At 34.3% G+C, this 18,429-nt stretch overlaps 1 protein-coding gene across 12 annotated transcripts in view; it reads left to right on the top strand.

The window, feature by feature from the left end:
* KCNT2 (potassium sodium-activated channel subfamily T member 2) overlaps positions 1 to 18,429 on the top strand; it is a 382,662-nt gene that overhangs the window by 305,498 nt on the left and 58,735 nt on the right. For 11 of the 12 annotated variants that reach the window (NR_146057.2, NR_146058.2, XR_001737149.3 and 8 more), the window contains one exon: positions 17,185 to 17,286. Coding sequence is in view for 9 of the 12 variants with exons in the window: in NM_001287820.3 (NP_001274749.1) it covers positions 17,185 to 17,286 (102 nt within the window). In the remaining 3 variants the exon portion in view is untranslated. The other variant, XM_017001179.3, reaches the window with a different exon arrangement.

The raw sequence follows: 18,429 nt of genomic DNA, 5'->3' as shown, positions 1-18,429 counted from the left end.
TTTCCAAATTATTCAGGGATAGGAAGGCTGGAGGAAGTGGGATTAAAATAAATAGTTTGAATGTTATAAAGCTGTGGAAAATTCTTTGATCCACTTGTTACCATATTATGTTAAAGTTAATTTCAGAAACTTAAAAATTTAAAAATGTAGAAACTTTTTAGTCTTTTATAGTCTCGTGGGTTGAATCTCATGCCCCATCCAAAAAAAAAAAAGTTGTGCTGGGGTCCTAACTCTTACAGATGTGGTCTTTAGAGAGAGGCAGTCAACTTCAAAGGAGACCATAGTGTGGGTTCTAATTTATGGCTCACTGACATTTTTATTAAAAGGGTGAATTTAGATATACAGACAGACACACATTAAAGGAAGGCAATGTGAAGGGAAACAGAAGATAGTCTTCCATAAGCCAAGGAGAAAGGCCTGGAACAGATCTTTCATTTACAGTCCTCAGAAGGAACCAATCTTGACAACATCTTTATTTCAGACTTCTTGCCTCCATGACTGTAAGGCAATAAATCTATATTGTTTAAAACACCCAGTCGATATTACTTTGTTATGGCAGCCCTATCAAATAATGTTCCATGAATGATATGGTAAATCTTCCAATCAAGGTTTTTTTTTAATCAGTAATATTTACTGGTATGACAGCTAACACAGTATTTAATTATCTTTCCATATTTGTATTCTGGGTGCAAGGAGATTTTTAGGATTAGAAAACTGATCTCTATTTCCAATATTTAAATAATCAGTAGCATTTTCTATAGTTACTGTTGGCTGAGGGTTACATGGATTTTTATTCTTCCAAACAATTATGAATATTGTTTCCATCTATCTATAAGTAGATGCCCTTGCACCTTCACAGGTGAGACCTTCACCTTTAGAAATACAATTAAGATTTTAAATCACAGCTGGGCGTGGTGGTTCACACCTGTAATCCCAGCACTTTGGGAGGTTGAGGCAGGTGGATCACGTGAAGTCAGGAGTTCGAGACCAGCGTGGCCAACATGGTAAAACCCTGTCTCTACTAATAATACAAAAATCAGCCAGGCCTGGTGGTGTGCACCTGTAGTCCCAGCTACTCAGGAGGCTAAGGCATGAGAATCGCTTGAATCCAGGAGGTGGAAGGTGTAGTGAGCCAAGATTGTGCCATTGCACTCCAGCCTGGGCGACAGAGAGAGACTATGTCTCTAAATAAATAAATAAATAAATCAGAAATAAACACCAGCTTGGCTGCTTACACACTTTCACACTTTTATTTTGCTACTAAGTGGTCTTCATTCATGTTTAAGAAGTAGGATTTATAGGGATAGGTGTGGAATGTTAAACTGTATTATTCCCAATTACTTTACTTTTGTGACGATTAAGCTTTGATGTTTTCCTTGTAGACCTTGCATTCTAATAAATATTAATATATGGTTTCCACTGGTATCAGAAGTAATACTCTGTAAAGATTTTCTGAAAGTAGCTACTTAGTGAAGAATATCTACTGTAGGGGATATAGGGGTAAGGATAAAATTTTCCCTTTGCCCTCCAGAGGTTTGCTGAAACTCACAAAAGGCAGATTAATAGCAGAAATGGCATGCAAATTTATTAGTGTGCATGCGAGAGAATCACCAAGTGATTGCCCCACCATGCAATGGGGTACACATGGTTATATACTTTCTTTCTAGAGGAAAGGGAGACGGGAGGTATGAATGATTTTGGGGGGACACATAGTAAATGATCTTCAGGGAAATTCAATAGACTTGAGGAACATATAATATGGCCTGGGACAAAATCGGTTGGGCCCACAGAGCAGACAATGGTTTGTGACAAAAGTCTGTTCAGGTGTGTTGACAGACTTCAGTCTTGCTTCCTGTGATGTGAGCTTAGTTAATGAAAACTCAAAGAAGAGACCAGAGTAATTGTTTTCTTCTTTGGCAGGTCCAGACTTTAGGCCAATAAGGGAACTTCAGAGAACAACTTCATCCTGTGCTTTGGGAGAGAGAGGACTGACAGGAGGTTGTAGGACGGTGGGGAGTCAGAGGGATCTTGAGAGGCTTCTTATTCTGTTCAGCATGTCAAGGCACTATATTTTGGGGTATTAGTTTCTGAGCTCCAATAGGGGAGAAAAAATTTCTCACCCATTGCAAGGTTCATGGCAGAGGTCCCTGTAACAAAAGACAGATTAACAAGAGAAAAATATAACAAATGTATTGAACATAAATCTTATGTGACAAATGTCTTCAGAAATAAAGACTCAAAGAAACAGGGAATCTGTGTATTTGTATGCCTAGGCATGGACAGCTGTACAGAATTATTATTGGACAAAGGGGGTATCATGGTAATAAATTAGGGAGGTGACTTAGCAAGGCCTATTTTTCAGATCTTCTTGGCATCTCTTTGTCTTCAGATATGAGGACATTGCCCTCCTCTGAGTAGAGGGGGAGCCCTCTGGAATGAGGATCTTATGACCTAATTTCAGTGGAAGGTCAGCTAAATTTTATGGCCTGCTTCAGGGAAGAAGGGGTGAGAGAAGGTTAGAGTCCATCCTGCTGCTGCTATTTTCTCACATGTCAAGCTGACATATTTTGGAGTAGCATGTCCTGAATCCCATCACCACAACACTGTCCTTCAATGAGAAATCAAAAGAGCTAAAAACACGGAAGGATAACTAGTTCATAACAACAATATGAAAAATATTGTGAAGTTCATTGACTATTCCTTGCCATCTTGAGGAGCTCCCTTTTCCACTGTCTTCTGTAGCCCCTGTCTTTCCACTCAAGCTTCTTCTCAAGCCATCATTACCTATGTAACTTCAGAAATATACACTCCTTGCAGCCTGTGTAATTTTTGTAGCCTGCTACATGCCTATACAAGTTTGAGAAAGTTTGAAGATTTTTATGCTTATTAAAGCTTACAAAGACTAAAGGTTTTTCAGACTATATTTGCCTTTCTGTGCCTGGCTTATTTTTCTTAACATAATGACTGTTATGTTAAGAGAAACCATCCATGTTGCTGCAAATAACACGATTTCATTATTTTTACAGATCCATAATATTCCGTTGTGTATACATATCACATTTTCTTTAGCCAGTCATCTATTGATGAACACTTAGGTTAATTCCATATCTTGGCCATTCTAAATGATGCTGTTATAAACATGAAAGTGCAGATACCTCTTTGAAATACTAATTTTCTTTCCTTTGGATGTATACCTAGCAGTGAGATTACTGGATCATGTGGCAGTTCTATTAGTTTTTTGAAGAATCTTCATTTTGTTGTCCATAATTGCTGTACTACTCTGCATTCTTATAACCAACAGTTATAAGCGTTCCCGTTTCTCTGCATCCTTGCTAGCATTTGTTATTTTTTGTCTTTTTGATACTTTGATAATAGGCATTCTAACTGGGGTGAGATGATGTCTCATTGTGGCCTTGATTTACATTTCCGTTATGATTAGTAATGTTGAGCATTTTGTTGTTTTGGGGAGAAATGAGCAGGTTACCTTCTATTCTGCCATCTTGGTAACAGCATTTGTGCCCATTTTCCTTTTCATCTGACCTTTCTTTTATTGTTTGCCCACTTTTTTTTGCTGATTTTTTTTTTACGTTATCCTTGTCTTGGATATTTACATCACCACTACAGTTTTGTCAGCGATACTTTTCATGTTTGAATGTCATTGACACCTTCTCCCAACAAAGTAGGTGTAACAGGTGTAACAGGCAACAGTAGAAGAGCTAAATAGAGATGGAGAAGGCAAGGAGGAAAAGAAATGGAAAAGAAAACAACAATAGAAAAAAAAGGGAAATTTTTGTCTCATTTTCCTCCAAAGGCTTATTTCTTTTCTCTTGCTTTGATGTATTTCACAAAGCCTTTTATTAATGTGTGTATCTGTGCACAATTTGCTTCAAGACTGCTTTCTTTAAAATTGCTTTTGAATGATCACCATTCCCAAATGATGGTCATAATCACAATATACAATCATGTGATAATTACACCTGATGTAAGAAGCAAAATAATGAAAATCTGAGATAACTAGCTGGTATAATAAAAATAAATACTTGGTCTTTGTCCCTGGTTTCTGGCTCAGAACTTCAATACTCCTTGTAATTTTCTGTGTGATAGGAGTGTCTTTTGTTATTCATACTTTCCAACCATACTAGATGCTATGGTAACAAAGGGACTTATGGAGGGGCACCTCTATAAGCTGGTGTGGGCAGCAGAAAAAGGAAGCTCTGATTAAAAGGTTGACACTTTTAGCCTTTACCCTCAACTCCAAGGAGGGCAGAGGGGCTGGGGCCTGGGTTTCATCACGTGGCTAATGATTTAATTAATCTTACCTGCATAATGAAGCCTCAATAAAAACTGAAAAATAAGGCTTGGATTGCTTCCCGGTTGGCGAACATGTTGACGTCCTGAGAGAATGGGGCACCCCAACATCACAGTCACGGAAGTTCCTGTGATTGGGAGACCCTTTAAGACTTTCCTCCACATGCTTTTTCATCTACTGTTCATTTATATTCTTCATAATAACATTGTAATCATATGCATAGTGCTTTTGTTGTTCTGTGAGTTATTTTAGCTAATTATTGAATCTGAGGGTTTATGGGAAGCCCCAAATTTGTAGCTGGCTGGGCAGGAATACAGTTGGCTTGAGGGTACCTAGGACTTATGGCTGGTGTTTAAATTGGGTGCAGTCTTCTGGGACTGAGCCCCTTAACTTGTGGAGTCTTTGCCAACTCCAGGTAGTGTCACAATTGCACTTAATTGTAGGATGCACGCTTGATGCAACAGAATTTATGTCAGAATGCAAACAGTCATGTCTATAAGTTATATATTACTTTTATAGTCAGTGGTAGAACAAAACGATAAGAATTTCTACCAGTGATTGGAGATATCTTCTGGGAGAAATATGGTAAAAATGTCATTTTTTCAATATATTTTCACTATAGAATAGTAAGAAGGCAAAATTTACACATTCTCAATTTAAACTCAAGTGAATAAATATTTACTGAGCACATACTACGAGCCAAATGCCTTGCTGAATTCTAGGCATTACAACATTGAATAAACCACATAGAATTTATAATATGATGGGTGACACAGATATATGAAAACAAACAAAAGCACATTGTCCTACTAATTTTTTCTGTCCAGACAACTTAAGCTACATTTTATTCATAATCTAGGTTCTGGAACAGCTGAGTGGGAGTTTGGTGCTACCTGCCAACACTGAGTTTGATTCATTAAGAAAGATTCTTATCCTGTTTTTAAGAAAATATTTACCTTGTCTCTATATTCATCCAAAAATAATTTGAAAAGAAGGCTAATGAGTTTCTATTTCTTTAAATGAGGAAAAACATTGTTCAATCTATTCTAGAAAAGTTATAAATACAATTTATATGGATAACAATCTTAATGTATAAATTTGTCTATTAATAATATTTATAGGATTGTGATTGTACATAATGAGCCCAAAGTCTTCACATTATGCTACTAAGACAATGCAGTGCATACATTCACTTCAAATTCAGTGTAATTAGCTCCCCATGGAAGAGTGCCACACAGCTGCTGCATATGTGTCTATTGTGAAGAGGAAAATGTATAGCAAATTGTTAAAACCATTAAAATCAAAATATTAAATGCAGAAAAGTAATGAATTTATGTAACTAAGTTAATAAAATTAAATTATTAGAATGTGGTAATTTTATGAAGTTAATCATTTTATGAAAATAAATAATTTATAATACAGTAGTTAACTATTTATTATTCTTAGGAAGTCCAACAATTGTCTTTTCATAAACATATGCACACACACACACACACATCTACAGAAAGAGAGAGAAAGAGAGAGAGATTGCATAATTTATTTCACTTCTCAATAAATGAAAGAAATAAAAATGCTTATAAGTCACAAAAAAGAAAGTATCATCTAGGATGACAAAGGTTACTTTTGGGTGTGCTTTCTTTTTGAAATGTTAAAATGAATATCACATTAGACAAGGACATGAAACCAATGATTTTTTTCTTGCTTATTATTTCTTCCTCTACATTAATAAGTATGTCCATCACTATTTGATTCTGTTTTGCTAGTCTGCAAGGCACTACTCATTTTTGAATTCAGAGTCAAAGAGAGTACAGTACATTTATTCAGCCTTCCATTTCAAGGCAGAGAGAACTGAAATAGGAACCCTTGACTTCACAGCCCAAGTCAAATAAAAAAACATTTCAAAACATTAAAGCCAACAGAGTACCTGATTTATTATATTGGGAAAATGGACACTTATTTGTGAGTTTATTTTAAGTATCTTTCTTGTTGCTATAACCTGTAGAGGAATTACTTGAGAGATTCTGTGCTGAATGCTGTCATTATATTTAGCTTGAACTAATTGGATACAGGCTCAGAAAATGTTCAAATAATTAGTTTACTATTTTCAGTGCATAAATTTCTCCACAAGATGTAGAATTTGTATCATTTGTATTTAAAGTCCTTCCAAATTCCTTCCAGTAATATATTAGGAATCTAAAATTATAGTCTCCGTATACTTATTCATATTTGTAATATATTCATTGTTATAATCAAACTGTATCAGATTAATTGAATATGGATGCATTTAAATTACTGTTAACTCTTTTTGAAAAAAGTATGTTCTTTGGCTTCTTTGACTATTTCATTTTTTGTAATTTCTATAACTATCATATTTTCTTATTTATTTATGTAATATTTTTCAACTTAATTCTTGGGGCTTCAAACTGTCATCAAATCATAAAACTAAACTTAGGACAGTTTATCTTTAATACATCAAACAGATAATAGTATATTTATATAGAATTTCATTCTTTATTTTGAAAGTGATTTTGATCTGTGGGACCCATTATTGAATGCAATTCATCATATGCTCATGTGATTATAACTGATTTAAGCAGTATTTTAGAAGTGTAACATATGGAGCAGTTTTGGTGTATCAAAACAACAAAGTAGTCTAGACTCAGCAATGAGTCATTCATATGCACTCCTGTTAATCTTTCAAAACCATGATATAATTTACATTGACAACCCTCCATGTCATAAAACTTACACAAAAAATTTATGCATCCTTTGTTTATCTTCTAAGGACTCAGATATTTAAATATTATCTTTAAATTTATAGCCTTCCTAACTTAAAACTAATCTCTTGAATGATGATTTTTATGCTCAATAAAAATAAGACTTCCTAACTTAAAACTAATATCTTGAATGATGGTTTGTATGCTCAATAAAAATATTATTTTTAAATTTTTTTGCCTTACTCAAAACCTAGTTTTTACACTTATACTGTAGTTAAAAGGAGTGGAATATCCTCCTTAATTCTTATATGAAGACTATTTTCTAACCTTTTCTGTTCAAAAATTTCACCCAATGGGGATTGCCAAATGTTTCTGTAGACATTTTGAGTGGTTCGAATTCTCCATCTCTTTCCTTGCATTTTACAATGTTTTTTTTTTTGGTTTTCAGACTTTACCTTATCATGAATATTAATGTTGACTTTGCCTGTTTTTGTTATTTTTAGAATTATAGTTGTAACTTAAGAGTTACAATTTTTGAACAATAATAAGTCATACAGAACTTACCTTTATTTGTGTTTTTAAGTATTATAGGTACAAATAGCTTATTTTATAGTTTATAAAAGCACAAGAAAGAACACTGGTTTTAACTTCTCCAAATTATCATTTTAAAAAGTACAAATGTTTTATTCTTTTATTCTATATTTTTATTTTTAATTGACAAATTATTAATTGGGTACAGTGTGACATTTATATATATACACATATATACATATATACACATATATATATTTACAATGTGTTATGATTAGATCAGACTAATTAACAAATCCAGGACCTCACATACTTATTACTTTTGTAGTGAAAAGATTTAAAATCAACTCTTCAAGCAATTCTGAAATATACAATACATTATTATTTATTGAAGTTAGCATTTTTTTTTTGCAATAGATCACTAAGCTTTTTCCTCTTAACTGAAACGTTGCACTCTTTTGATCAACATCCCCTTATGCCCTTCCACCAGTCTCTGGTAACCATCATTGTACTCTCTACTATGAATTCAATTTTAATGACATAATTTTTTTTTAGGCAAAATAGTATTCCATTATGTATATATATATATATATCATATTTTCTTTATCCGTTAATCTGATGATGGACACCTAGGTTGCTTCCATATCTTGGCTATTATGAATAAGGCTGCCATGAACATAGGCATGCAAGACATCTCTTCAACATACTTTTTCAGTTTATTTGAATATATACCCAGAAGTGAGATTACTTATTGCATGCCTATTTTTAGTTTTCTGAGGAAACTCCATACTGTTTTTCATAATGGCTGTCTTGGCCGGGCGCAGTGGCTCATGCCTGTAATCCCAGCACTTTGAGAGGCCAAGGCGGGTGGATCATGAGGTCAGCAGATTGAGATCATCCTGGCCAACATGGTGAAACCCTGTCTCTACTAAAAATACAAAAATTAACTGGGTATGGTGGCGCGTGTCTGTAATCCCAACTACTCGGGAGGCTGAGACAGGAGAATCGCTTGAACCAGGGAGTTGGAGGTTGCAATGAGCTGAGATCGCACCACTGCACTCTAGCCTGGCGACAGAGCGAGATTCAGTCTCAAAAAACAAAAAAACAAAACATAATGGCTGCCTTAATTTACATTCCCACCAACAGTGCAAAGGGTTCTCTTTGCTCCACTCCTCTGGCTAACACTTATTTTGTCTTTTTGATAGTAGCCATTCTAACAGGTATGAGGTGATATCTTATTGTAGCTTTAATTTGCATTTCCCTGATGATCAGTGATGTTGATCAGCTTTTCCTATACGTGTTGGCCGGTTATATATGTTCTTTTGAGAGGTGTTTCTGTAGGTCCATTGTCTTTTTTGTGACTCAGTTATGTGTTTTATTGCTGTTGAGTTGTTTGAGTCCTTATATATTTTGGATATGAGCCCCCTATCAAATGTATTATTTGCCAATATTTTCTCCTAATCTATAGGATGTCTGTTCGTTCCATTAATTGTTTTGTTTTTTGTTTTTTTGTTTTTTTTTTTTTTGACTGTGCAGAAGCCTTTTAGTTTGTTATAATCCCATTTGTTTGTTTATGTTCTTGTTGCTTGTGCTTTTGGGTTCCTAGACAATAAATTATTGCCCAGAGCAATGTTGTGGAATACTTCCTTTATGTTTTCTTCTAATAGTTTGACAATTTCTGGCCTTACATTTAAGTCTTTGAGTTGATTTTTGCATATAGCATGAGATAAGGTCCAAATTTTTGCATATAGCATGAGATAAGGTCCAATTTCATGCCTTTGCTTGCAGATATCCAGTTTTCCCAGCACAGTTTAGTGAAGAGATGATCTTTTCTCCATGGTGTGGCCTGGCACCTTTGTTAAAAAAATCAATAGGCCATTAATTCATGGGTTTATTGCTGGGCTCTTTATCCTGTTCTATTGGTCAATCTTCCTGTCTGCTTTTATGCCAGTACCATTCTATCTAGATTACTATAGCTTTGTAATAGATTTTGAAGTCAGATACTGTGATGTCTCCAGATTTGTTTTTTCTTTTGTTTTGTTTTGTTTTGTTTTTTTCTCTTAAGATTGCTTTGGCTGTTTGAGGTCTTTTGTGATTCTATACAAATTTTAGGACTGTTTTATCAAAATTCTGTGAAAAATGACATTGATATTTCAATCAGGATTGCAGTAAATCTGAAGATCACTTTGAATAGTATGGATATTTTAACAATATTGTTTCTTCCAGTTTATGACCACAATAACGCTTTAGATTTATTTGTGTCATCTACAGTTTCTTTTATTGGTGTTTCATAATTTACAGTATAAAGATCTTTTACCTCTTTGATTACATTTATTCTTAAGTATTTTTTTTTTATGCTATTGTGAATGGGACTGGTTTTAATTATTTTTTCAGGTAGTTTGTTTTTAGGGTAAAGAAACACTGTTGACTTTTATGTGTTGATTTTGCTGAATTTGTTTATCACTTCTAACAGCTTTTTGGTGGAGTAGTTAAGGTTTCAATATACTGTAAGTTCATGGCATCTGCAAACAGAGACAATTTAACTTCTTCCTTTTTTTTTTTTTTTTTTTTTTTGAGACAGAGTCTCACTCTGTCGCCCAGGCTGGAGTGCAGTGGCGCAATCTCCACTCGCTTCAAGTTCCGCCCCGCCTCCCGGGTTCACGCCATTCTCCTGCCTCAGCCTCCCGAGTAGCTGGGACCACAGGCGCCCGCCAAGGCGCCCGGCTAATTTTTTTGTATTTTCAGTAGAGACGGGGTTTCACCGCGTTAGCCAGGATGGTCTCGATCTCCTGACCTTGTGATCCGCCCGCCTCGGCCTCCCAAAGTGCTGGGATTACAGGCGTGAGCCACTGCGCCCGGCCACTTCCTTTTTCTATTTAGATGCCTTTTACTTCTTTTTCTTGTCTGATTGCTCTGGCCAGAACTTCGAATACTGTGTTGAACAGAAGTTGTTTGAATGGGCAACGTTGACTTTGCCCCTGATCTTAGAAGGAATAGCTTTTAACTTTCTACCATTGAGTGTAATGTTAGCTGTGGAGTTTTTATACATGGCGTATATTATGTTGAGGTACATTTCTTCTATGCCTTATTTGTTGAGAGTTTTCCATCATAAAAGGATGTTGAATTTTGTCAAATGCTTTTTATACATGACCTTGCAATATTTGATTTTTAAGTGTGTCCTCAGTAAAAGTATATATCCCTGTAGAACTGGAAAGTTTTGTTAATTATTTTTGTATGCTAAGAACCTAGGTCAGTGCCTGATTCGTAAAAGTAAATTGAGAAATATTTCTTAGTTGTATTGCTTAGAATTGTCTCCTAAGCCATGGAATATTTTGTAGTCAATTAGAAATGTTCTATTTTTTAAGACACATTTAAAATATATATTTAGATTACTTACTATGTTATTTTCTGATATAATTACTATTCACCCAAGTTACTTTTAAGCAGAATTTGAGTTAGTAGATCCCTAGACTAATTTCTAAATATTTTATCTTCCGAAGTGTAAAATAAGAGCCTTTTAATGGAAGTAAGGAATGTAAATTAGTGAAGTGAAAAATTCTGGCCAGTTGCTACCATGACCTATGATATCTGGTTCTCCAAATTTAAAATAAGTCGGAAGTGCAGATTTTTATATTAAATGTTAAATGATGGAACTTATTAAACTTCAATAAATTTAGGCAGCCCAAATGAAACTCCTCTGTAGTTCAGATTTGGACTAATTACTGCCAGTTTGTAACTTCTAGCCATATGTTGTTTTCTTGAGACACAGAGAGGTAGGTTAATGATAGTGTCACAAAAATCTAACTGGATAGGAAATACTAAGTATTAATCATCCCTAATTTTTATTTCTCATATGTAAATTCAGCATGATAAAGTGCAATTCATAAAATTAATCCAAATTCTTCATTGTCCAGAATTAAAAGAGAAAGTAATTGTGTAATGTATTTTTATCAGGATGGAATCAGATGCTTGGAATCTTACTTTTTACATAACTTTAAAGTCAATAGGTTTTGAAAATAGTGTCATAAAAATCTTTTTTTCCTCTCTGTAAGGAAAGTTAATAACAAAAAGACAGGAAATCATACATGCAGAGTGATTCACACAAGCAGAAGGGCAGCATCACTGTGCTTGTACGAAAGGATTTCATAGAGTGGGTAGCATGATACGTATTTTGAAGGATGAGGAGGACCTGCAGAGATGGTTTTGAAACAGAGTTTTGACCTGCAGAGATTGTTTTGAAATCTCTTATATGAAATTGTTACCCACAGTGAGTTGGAACCCAAATATGAGGAAGAAATTTTCAGTATTTAGCTAAATAGTCAATCATCTGACTTACTAATAGTCTGCTGGGAAGTACTGAAAAGTCATCCTGGAAAGCAGTTTGGGAGCTAGACCTTAGAATGCCCTGAATGCTGAGTCTTTGGAGTTTTTGATGCAGTGAATGGGGAGTCATGGCAAGTTTTTAAATGAGGACATGGGGGAGGTGGCATCGTCAGACTTGTACTTTTATGAAATTGATGTGAAATTTCTGTATTTATCTGAAAAGAGACATTATGGGGAAAAGGGAAAGAGTTAGTAAGTTATTTCAATAAATCAGGCATGAGATAATAAAGACCTGGTCTAGGACTGTTAGGGTGAATATATTGATTAAAAACAAAGAGAGAATTCTGGGAAATAACTGACCTTAGTGAGATAAATGATACATTTATTTAAGTATATTAAAATTATAGTACATAAGTAAAAAAATAAGTGGTGATATATAAATGAAGCTCAGGAACAGGATGAAATATATGTGTGTGTGTGTGTATATATATATATACACCTATACATATACACACACACACACATATATATGTATATGCATAGATATACTTGAAGGTTGTGCACATAAATGTATAATTGTAAAGCCTTAAGAAATGTAAGGCTTAGAGAGCCATAAGGAAGGTTAAAAAGAACCACAAGGAAGATGAGTTTAACTAAGGACTTTATCCTGAGGTTCATAAAGGAGAGTCTAGAAAGAAGACAAATCAGAGAAAATGAGCAAGGGGTCCAAGAGTATTCTGGAAGCTGAGATAGAGTGATGTGAAAAGACAGAGCTCCAGAATTAGAATGTAGTTTGTCAAACACTGTAAGAAAGTTCAAGTAGGATGAATGCTGACAAAAACCACTAGATTTAGGAATTACATTATGATTGGGTCCAGAGGAAAGAATGAAGGAATGTAAAAGAATTATAGTTGAGAAAATAGGGGATAGAAACCAGTAATTTGTGCCAATAAAATTCTTGATTTTTTTTTTTACCTCCCACACTGTTCTGTTAAATCCAATAATTTTATCATCTCATTCCATATGGTATTGATGGACACAGATTAAAGGAAACAAAATTTCTGCCAGAAACACATTCCTTCTTCCAAGAAAGGCACATGTTCATGATAATAAAACAAATGGAAAAGTAGGTAAGACCAAACATTTAAAAGTGTCTGAAATCTTTAATGATTTAAATGTCATTGGTATTCTTTTAGATACTTATATAAGTATTTGTTAGGAAAAAAATATCATCAGTAAAACTTCAATTGAATTCAGAATTCTACTAGAAAAGAAATATGATAAATTTAACAAAAAGGAATCATAGTGTATGTTTATACTAGCAACAATAGCAGAAACATTTATTGTAAAACCCAATAACTAGACATAGTAAAGTAAAAAAGCTTTGCATATTGTGACATTACAATTCTTCACATTCTCAAACCTCTGTTAAATAACCAAAGTGACAAAATAGAGGTATTGAGTGAACCTCGAACGTTTGTTTCTTGTTTCTGGCATATGAATGTTCTAAGCATTAAACTATGCAATAAATTGTCTTTTGATGTAGGCCGCTAACATAAGTAGAAAAAATTTATTTATTTTTCCAATCAAATGTCACTGACTGTGTGCCAGGCATTGTGTTAGGCATTGTGTAAGTAACAGAAAGCAAAATCATGGTCTCTGCCCTCTTGGAACATAGGATCTAGCTGAGATAGATTATTAATAAATTAAAAACATAAACAAGGTGTAATAGGTTTCAAAAAAGCTATGAAAGTTTTAACAGGTTATATTCAAGAGTAACTGCAGAAAGACAGGTTTTAAGTAAGGTGATAAGGAAATACCTCTTTGGGGAGGTAATATTTTAGCTGCAATGATAACACCAGCCTAGTCCAGTAAAAGCCTGGGAAGTAGCATTATAGGAAGGATAAAAAAATACAAAGTTCTTGAGGTAATATATAATTTAGCATATTCAAACAACTGATAATAAAAATATCTTTTTAAGTACTTACTATATACAGTAATTTTAGAGGTTTTATTATGTTTATTTTTTGTAATCACAGTGGGATGTAGATGTCAATATGAATCCCAATTCACAGTTATAAAACTGAGGAACAGAGAGCTTAAGTAACTTGTAAAAGATCATACAATTAGTAAGCGGAAACACTTGACTGAAACTATTGTATGTGGTTTCAGAATCCAAGCTCCAAACCATTGTATGTTGTATTGCCTGTATGATCCATATTTTTGGCAGGTGGACCTGTCCACTGGCATCAAAACCCAAGTCCAAATCAACTTGTGATCTGATCTTCCTCCACACTTTCTATTTTACAGAAGGTGCAATCATCTGCCTCATTATCTAGAGACCTGTGTATCATCCTCATCTTCTCTCTACTTTAGTACCAAATTCAATCATCATATCCTCTTAAAATTGAATGTCTAAATGCATTCTGAATAAGATCTGTTTCTGCAAATACCACAGTAGAATGTACATTCGTCTTTCACTAGGATTGCTGCATTAACACTATAGTTTATCTTGCTCAATTTTCCCATGCCACCTCCTCATTCACAAGCCATTTTCCACATTGTCATCAAAGTGAGCATCCTAAAAACATAATCGTATCACTCCTCCTCTTAAAAACACTTTAGTTTTTCCCCATTGCCTGTAAGATGAAATTCAAAATACTTAACATGGTTTCAAAGTAGGGTAACCATATGTCCTGTTATTTCTTAGACAATCTCAACTTATATCATTATTTTTCAGTGTAATTCTTAACTGCATCCCCATTACCTTAAAACATATCTTGGTACTTTAAGACCTAGTCCAAACTTATTGCTCTAGTCTCATTTCTGACCTCTCCATTCAACCCATATACTTAAACTCTATGCTATTGGATTGTTTGTAGTTCCTGAAGTCTCTCAAGCGTTTTATTTTTTTATTTTTTATTTATTTATTTTTTTTTACTTCCACTAGAGAACATGCTGGACATTCTGCTTATAGCTTTCAACTTAACACTCACTCTTCCCAAATTTCTACTCAATTTTAGGTCTCAACTTAGACATCACCTCTAATTCAGCTCTCTGGCTTTTCTACTAAAAGAATAAGCTAGGTGCCCTTCCTAAGTATGTATTACTGCCTAATTATTACATATATTCACCCAAGTGTTTTTGCCTATTTTGCTATTGTTACCATTCACAGCAGTGTAAGTTCTTGCAGACAAGGAAAATATCCCTGTTTGTTTAACTAGCTCCTGGCCCATATTCAACACATAATACTTCTATTAACTGATAAGATACTGTTAGTTCTATATAGGAGCTCTGTATTCCTAGCACTGAGGATGATTGATGCCCTACACAAAGTACGTTCTCAACGCATATTTATTAAGTGACTACTTTAATGCACAAATGAATACATTGGTGTTTGGGGACTTTAATAGTGAATGGAATTAATTTTAATTAGCGTTGCTGTTTAAGGTGGTATCAATAGGATTCAGATGTGTGGAGATGGGAAGAGTTCATTTCCTATAGGAATAAGCACTGTAGGTTAAAAAACTGTTCTGTATTTGAAAAATATAGTGTGTGAAATGGTAATGTAATTGAACCAAGGAATGTTTGTTTGTTTGTTTGTTTGTTTGTTTGTTTGTTTTGAAGAGTAAATGTAACATCAAATTCTCAGGCGTTCCAGCACTTTATTCTGGCTACTCCCTTTAATTTGGGTCTAACATATCATGGCTTGGTCTTCTCCAGGATACTTGTTACACCTCGAGAACTAGGTTTGTCCTCAAATTCACGGGAAAACCTAGCTGTATCACAATAAGAACAGCTAACTCCAGTCATCTGCAAGCCACTCACATGAGCTGTTCAAGTTAAGCACTCTTCACACCTAGGTTTATAAATTAGAGAATATATTAGGATTTCATAGACATAGACAAAAATGTGGAACCGCTTTCCTATCCTTTGCCTTACCTTCTCCCTGTATCTCAAGTGAAGACGCTCTTATAGTGATAGTCATCTCAACTAGACAGACACTATAGATACACGTGAGATGGGAGGCTTCCCTTCCACGAGAACCCACACATTTATTACATTAGAAACAGGAGCTTGCTTCTGTTGCCTCAAGAAGTGAAGGTTGATTTCTTATTTTCTGTATCTTATTCTGATTTCTTATTTTCAGCTGTATCAGTCTTCCTAGTAAAGGGAATTTGTCAACAAAAGAAACTAGAATTTTTGAGGTTACCATTTGTTAAATAGAAGCTTAACTTACATTCTCAAGAAACTCTTCTAAACTTAAACAAATTTGACATTTGCTCTCTTACCTTCATTTATTAAAGGAAAAAAAAATTGCAACAGAATTTTTAAAAAGAAACCCTCATACACCATATCACCCCCCAACTCGTAAGCATTCAAACATACATAAACAACGTGTGTGTGTGTGTGTGTGTGTGTGTATGTGTGTGTGTGTGTGTGTGATATACAGAAGATTAGTTGCAAACTGATATACCAGATGCAATTTATCAGTTAGGTGGAGAAATGAAACTAAGATGATGGACAGCTAGAGACTACTGGATGTACAAAGCCTGTTTTAGTCTGTTAGGGCTACTAGAACAAAGTACTGTAGACTGGGTGGCTTATAGACACCAGATATTAATTTCTCACTGTCTGAAGGCTGGGAATTCCACATTCAAGGTGCTGGGAGATTTGGTGTCTGGTGAGGGCCCATTTCCTAGTTCATAGATGGTACATGGTAGAAGGGGCAAAGAGTTTCTCTTTTTTAAAAAGGCAATTGCATTCATGAGGGTTCCACCTCCATGAACTAATCACCTCCCAAAGGCTTCACTTCCTAATACTATTACCTTGGGGATTAGGATTTCAATGTATGAATTTTGAGGGGACACAAACATTCAGACCATAACAGGTGCCTACCTCCCTATTTTTTTGTTCTCACCCATGAGAATATTTAAAAGCAGGTCTTCTTTACAGTGTTCAGTGTTATGGTACATCGTGTGACGTTAGTTTTTTTTTCACATTTTTTTCAATGATTTTTATTTGTTTCCATTATGATGTCTCTTCTTGTATGAAGAGTAAATACATGCTTAATGTACAAAAAATGTTGATCTTTCTTCACTATTGGGTGTTTTAACTGAGAAAATGTGGTTAGCAAAACGAAAGGGCAGTTTAAAAAATATGATTATCAGTGAAGTAATGACACATTTATAGCTAAGAACCATATGATGAGAACTTTTTACGTATGTCAACACAATTTACTGAGGCAGAAATGCATAAAATGTGGAATGCTCACAAATTTTTCTATCTCAAATTTCTGAACAGAAAGAACGGGAGAGAGGCTCTAACTTGGCCTTTATGTTTCGACTGCCTTTTGCTGCTGGGAGGGTGTTTAGCATCAGTATGTTGGACACTCTGCTGTATCAGGTATACAATATTTCTTTTTATTTTCTCTAAAATGGTTGTTTTCTGTTTTAGATTTTATTTAAATGAATAATACATCTAGTGTTTCACATGCAGCTACTAACTTAAAATTGGCTCCAAAAGTAATTCAGTATTTTATTTCATGTACTTAATGACATAAATGCTCCTATGAAACATTTTGTAAGAAAAATACTATTTTTAAAAATAACCTATGGAAATTATTTCAGGCATTCTTTTGTACCAGTGCCCTGCAGTGTTTAATATATTTAATACATTTTAGTACATTTTGCATGTTACTCCAAGCATATTACTGGATTTAAAAAGGTAAAAAAAAATTACCAACTTAATAAAAACAGCATTCCTTATAGTATACATTTTTTCCAGGTTTGAAATAAAATACCAAATTGATGTCAATAAACTGATAAACTAAGGACATTTTAAGAATCTGCTGATTATTGCCTATTTTAGAAAAATATGAAAAGACTACAACAACTAAAACCACTGAGTTTGTTCCTGAATGCCAAGTTAACTTTTTCATTTTATCATAGCTAAGAGGTTTGTGGAGGTGTTTGTTCACACTAATATCATCGTTTTTGTCTCTGCCAGAAACTGAATAGCAGTAATATCTCATTTTTTCTGATTCAAGTAATCAGACAATCTCTAAATATTTCCATTAAGAAGAAAGAAATATTCGTAGAGTTTTAAATTATTTGATAACATTAATCTCAAATTAAGCATTTCAGCATTTTATTGTACCTATTCTTTTTGCTTATTTATGTACTGTCTTCTATAATTGCTTGACTGAACAAACTAATCCAAAGAAAGTTAAAGCTTTTCTGCAGAACTTTGGGCTAATTTTGCCCATGATTATGCCTCTAGCAACGTCAGGAACCATCTGCTTATGTCAGATGAGAGCTGGAGCAAACACAACAAAGTAGAATAAATACCCCTATTATCCCTAAAGTTTCCAGACATATTATCTGGGTACTACAGGAGGCAGGGCTCCCACTCCAAACACTGTTACCAAACACACATACTTCTGATCTCTTAAAGAGATTAAATTGCAGGGGATGGTTTATTTGAAGAGCAGTGTTGAAACTGAAGATTTTATATCAATAGGAGCCAAATGCTTGGGTACCATTATGC

This window comes from Homo sapiens, chromosome 1, assembly GCF_000001405.40.
Source record: "Homo sapiens chromosome 1, GRCh38.p14 Primary Assembly".
In the NCBI taxonomy this organism is placed as follows: Eukaryota; Metazoa; Chordata; class Mammalia; order Primates; family Hominidae; genus Homo; species Homo sapiens.
This window is presented reverse-complemented; position numbering and strand designations above follow the sequence as displayed.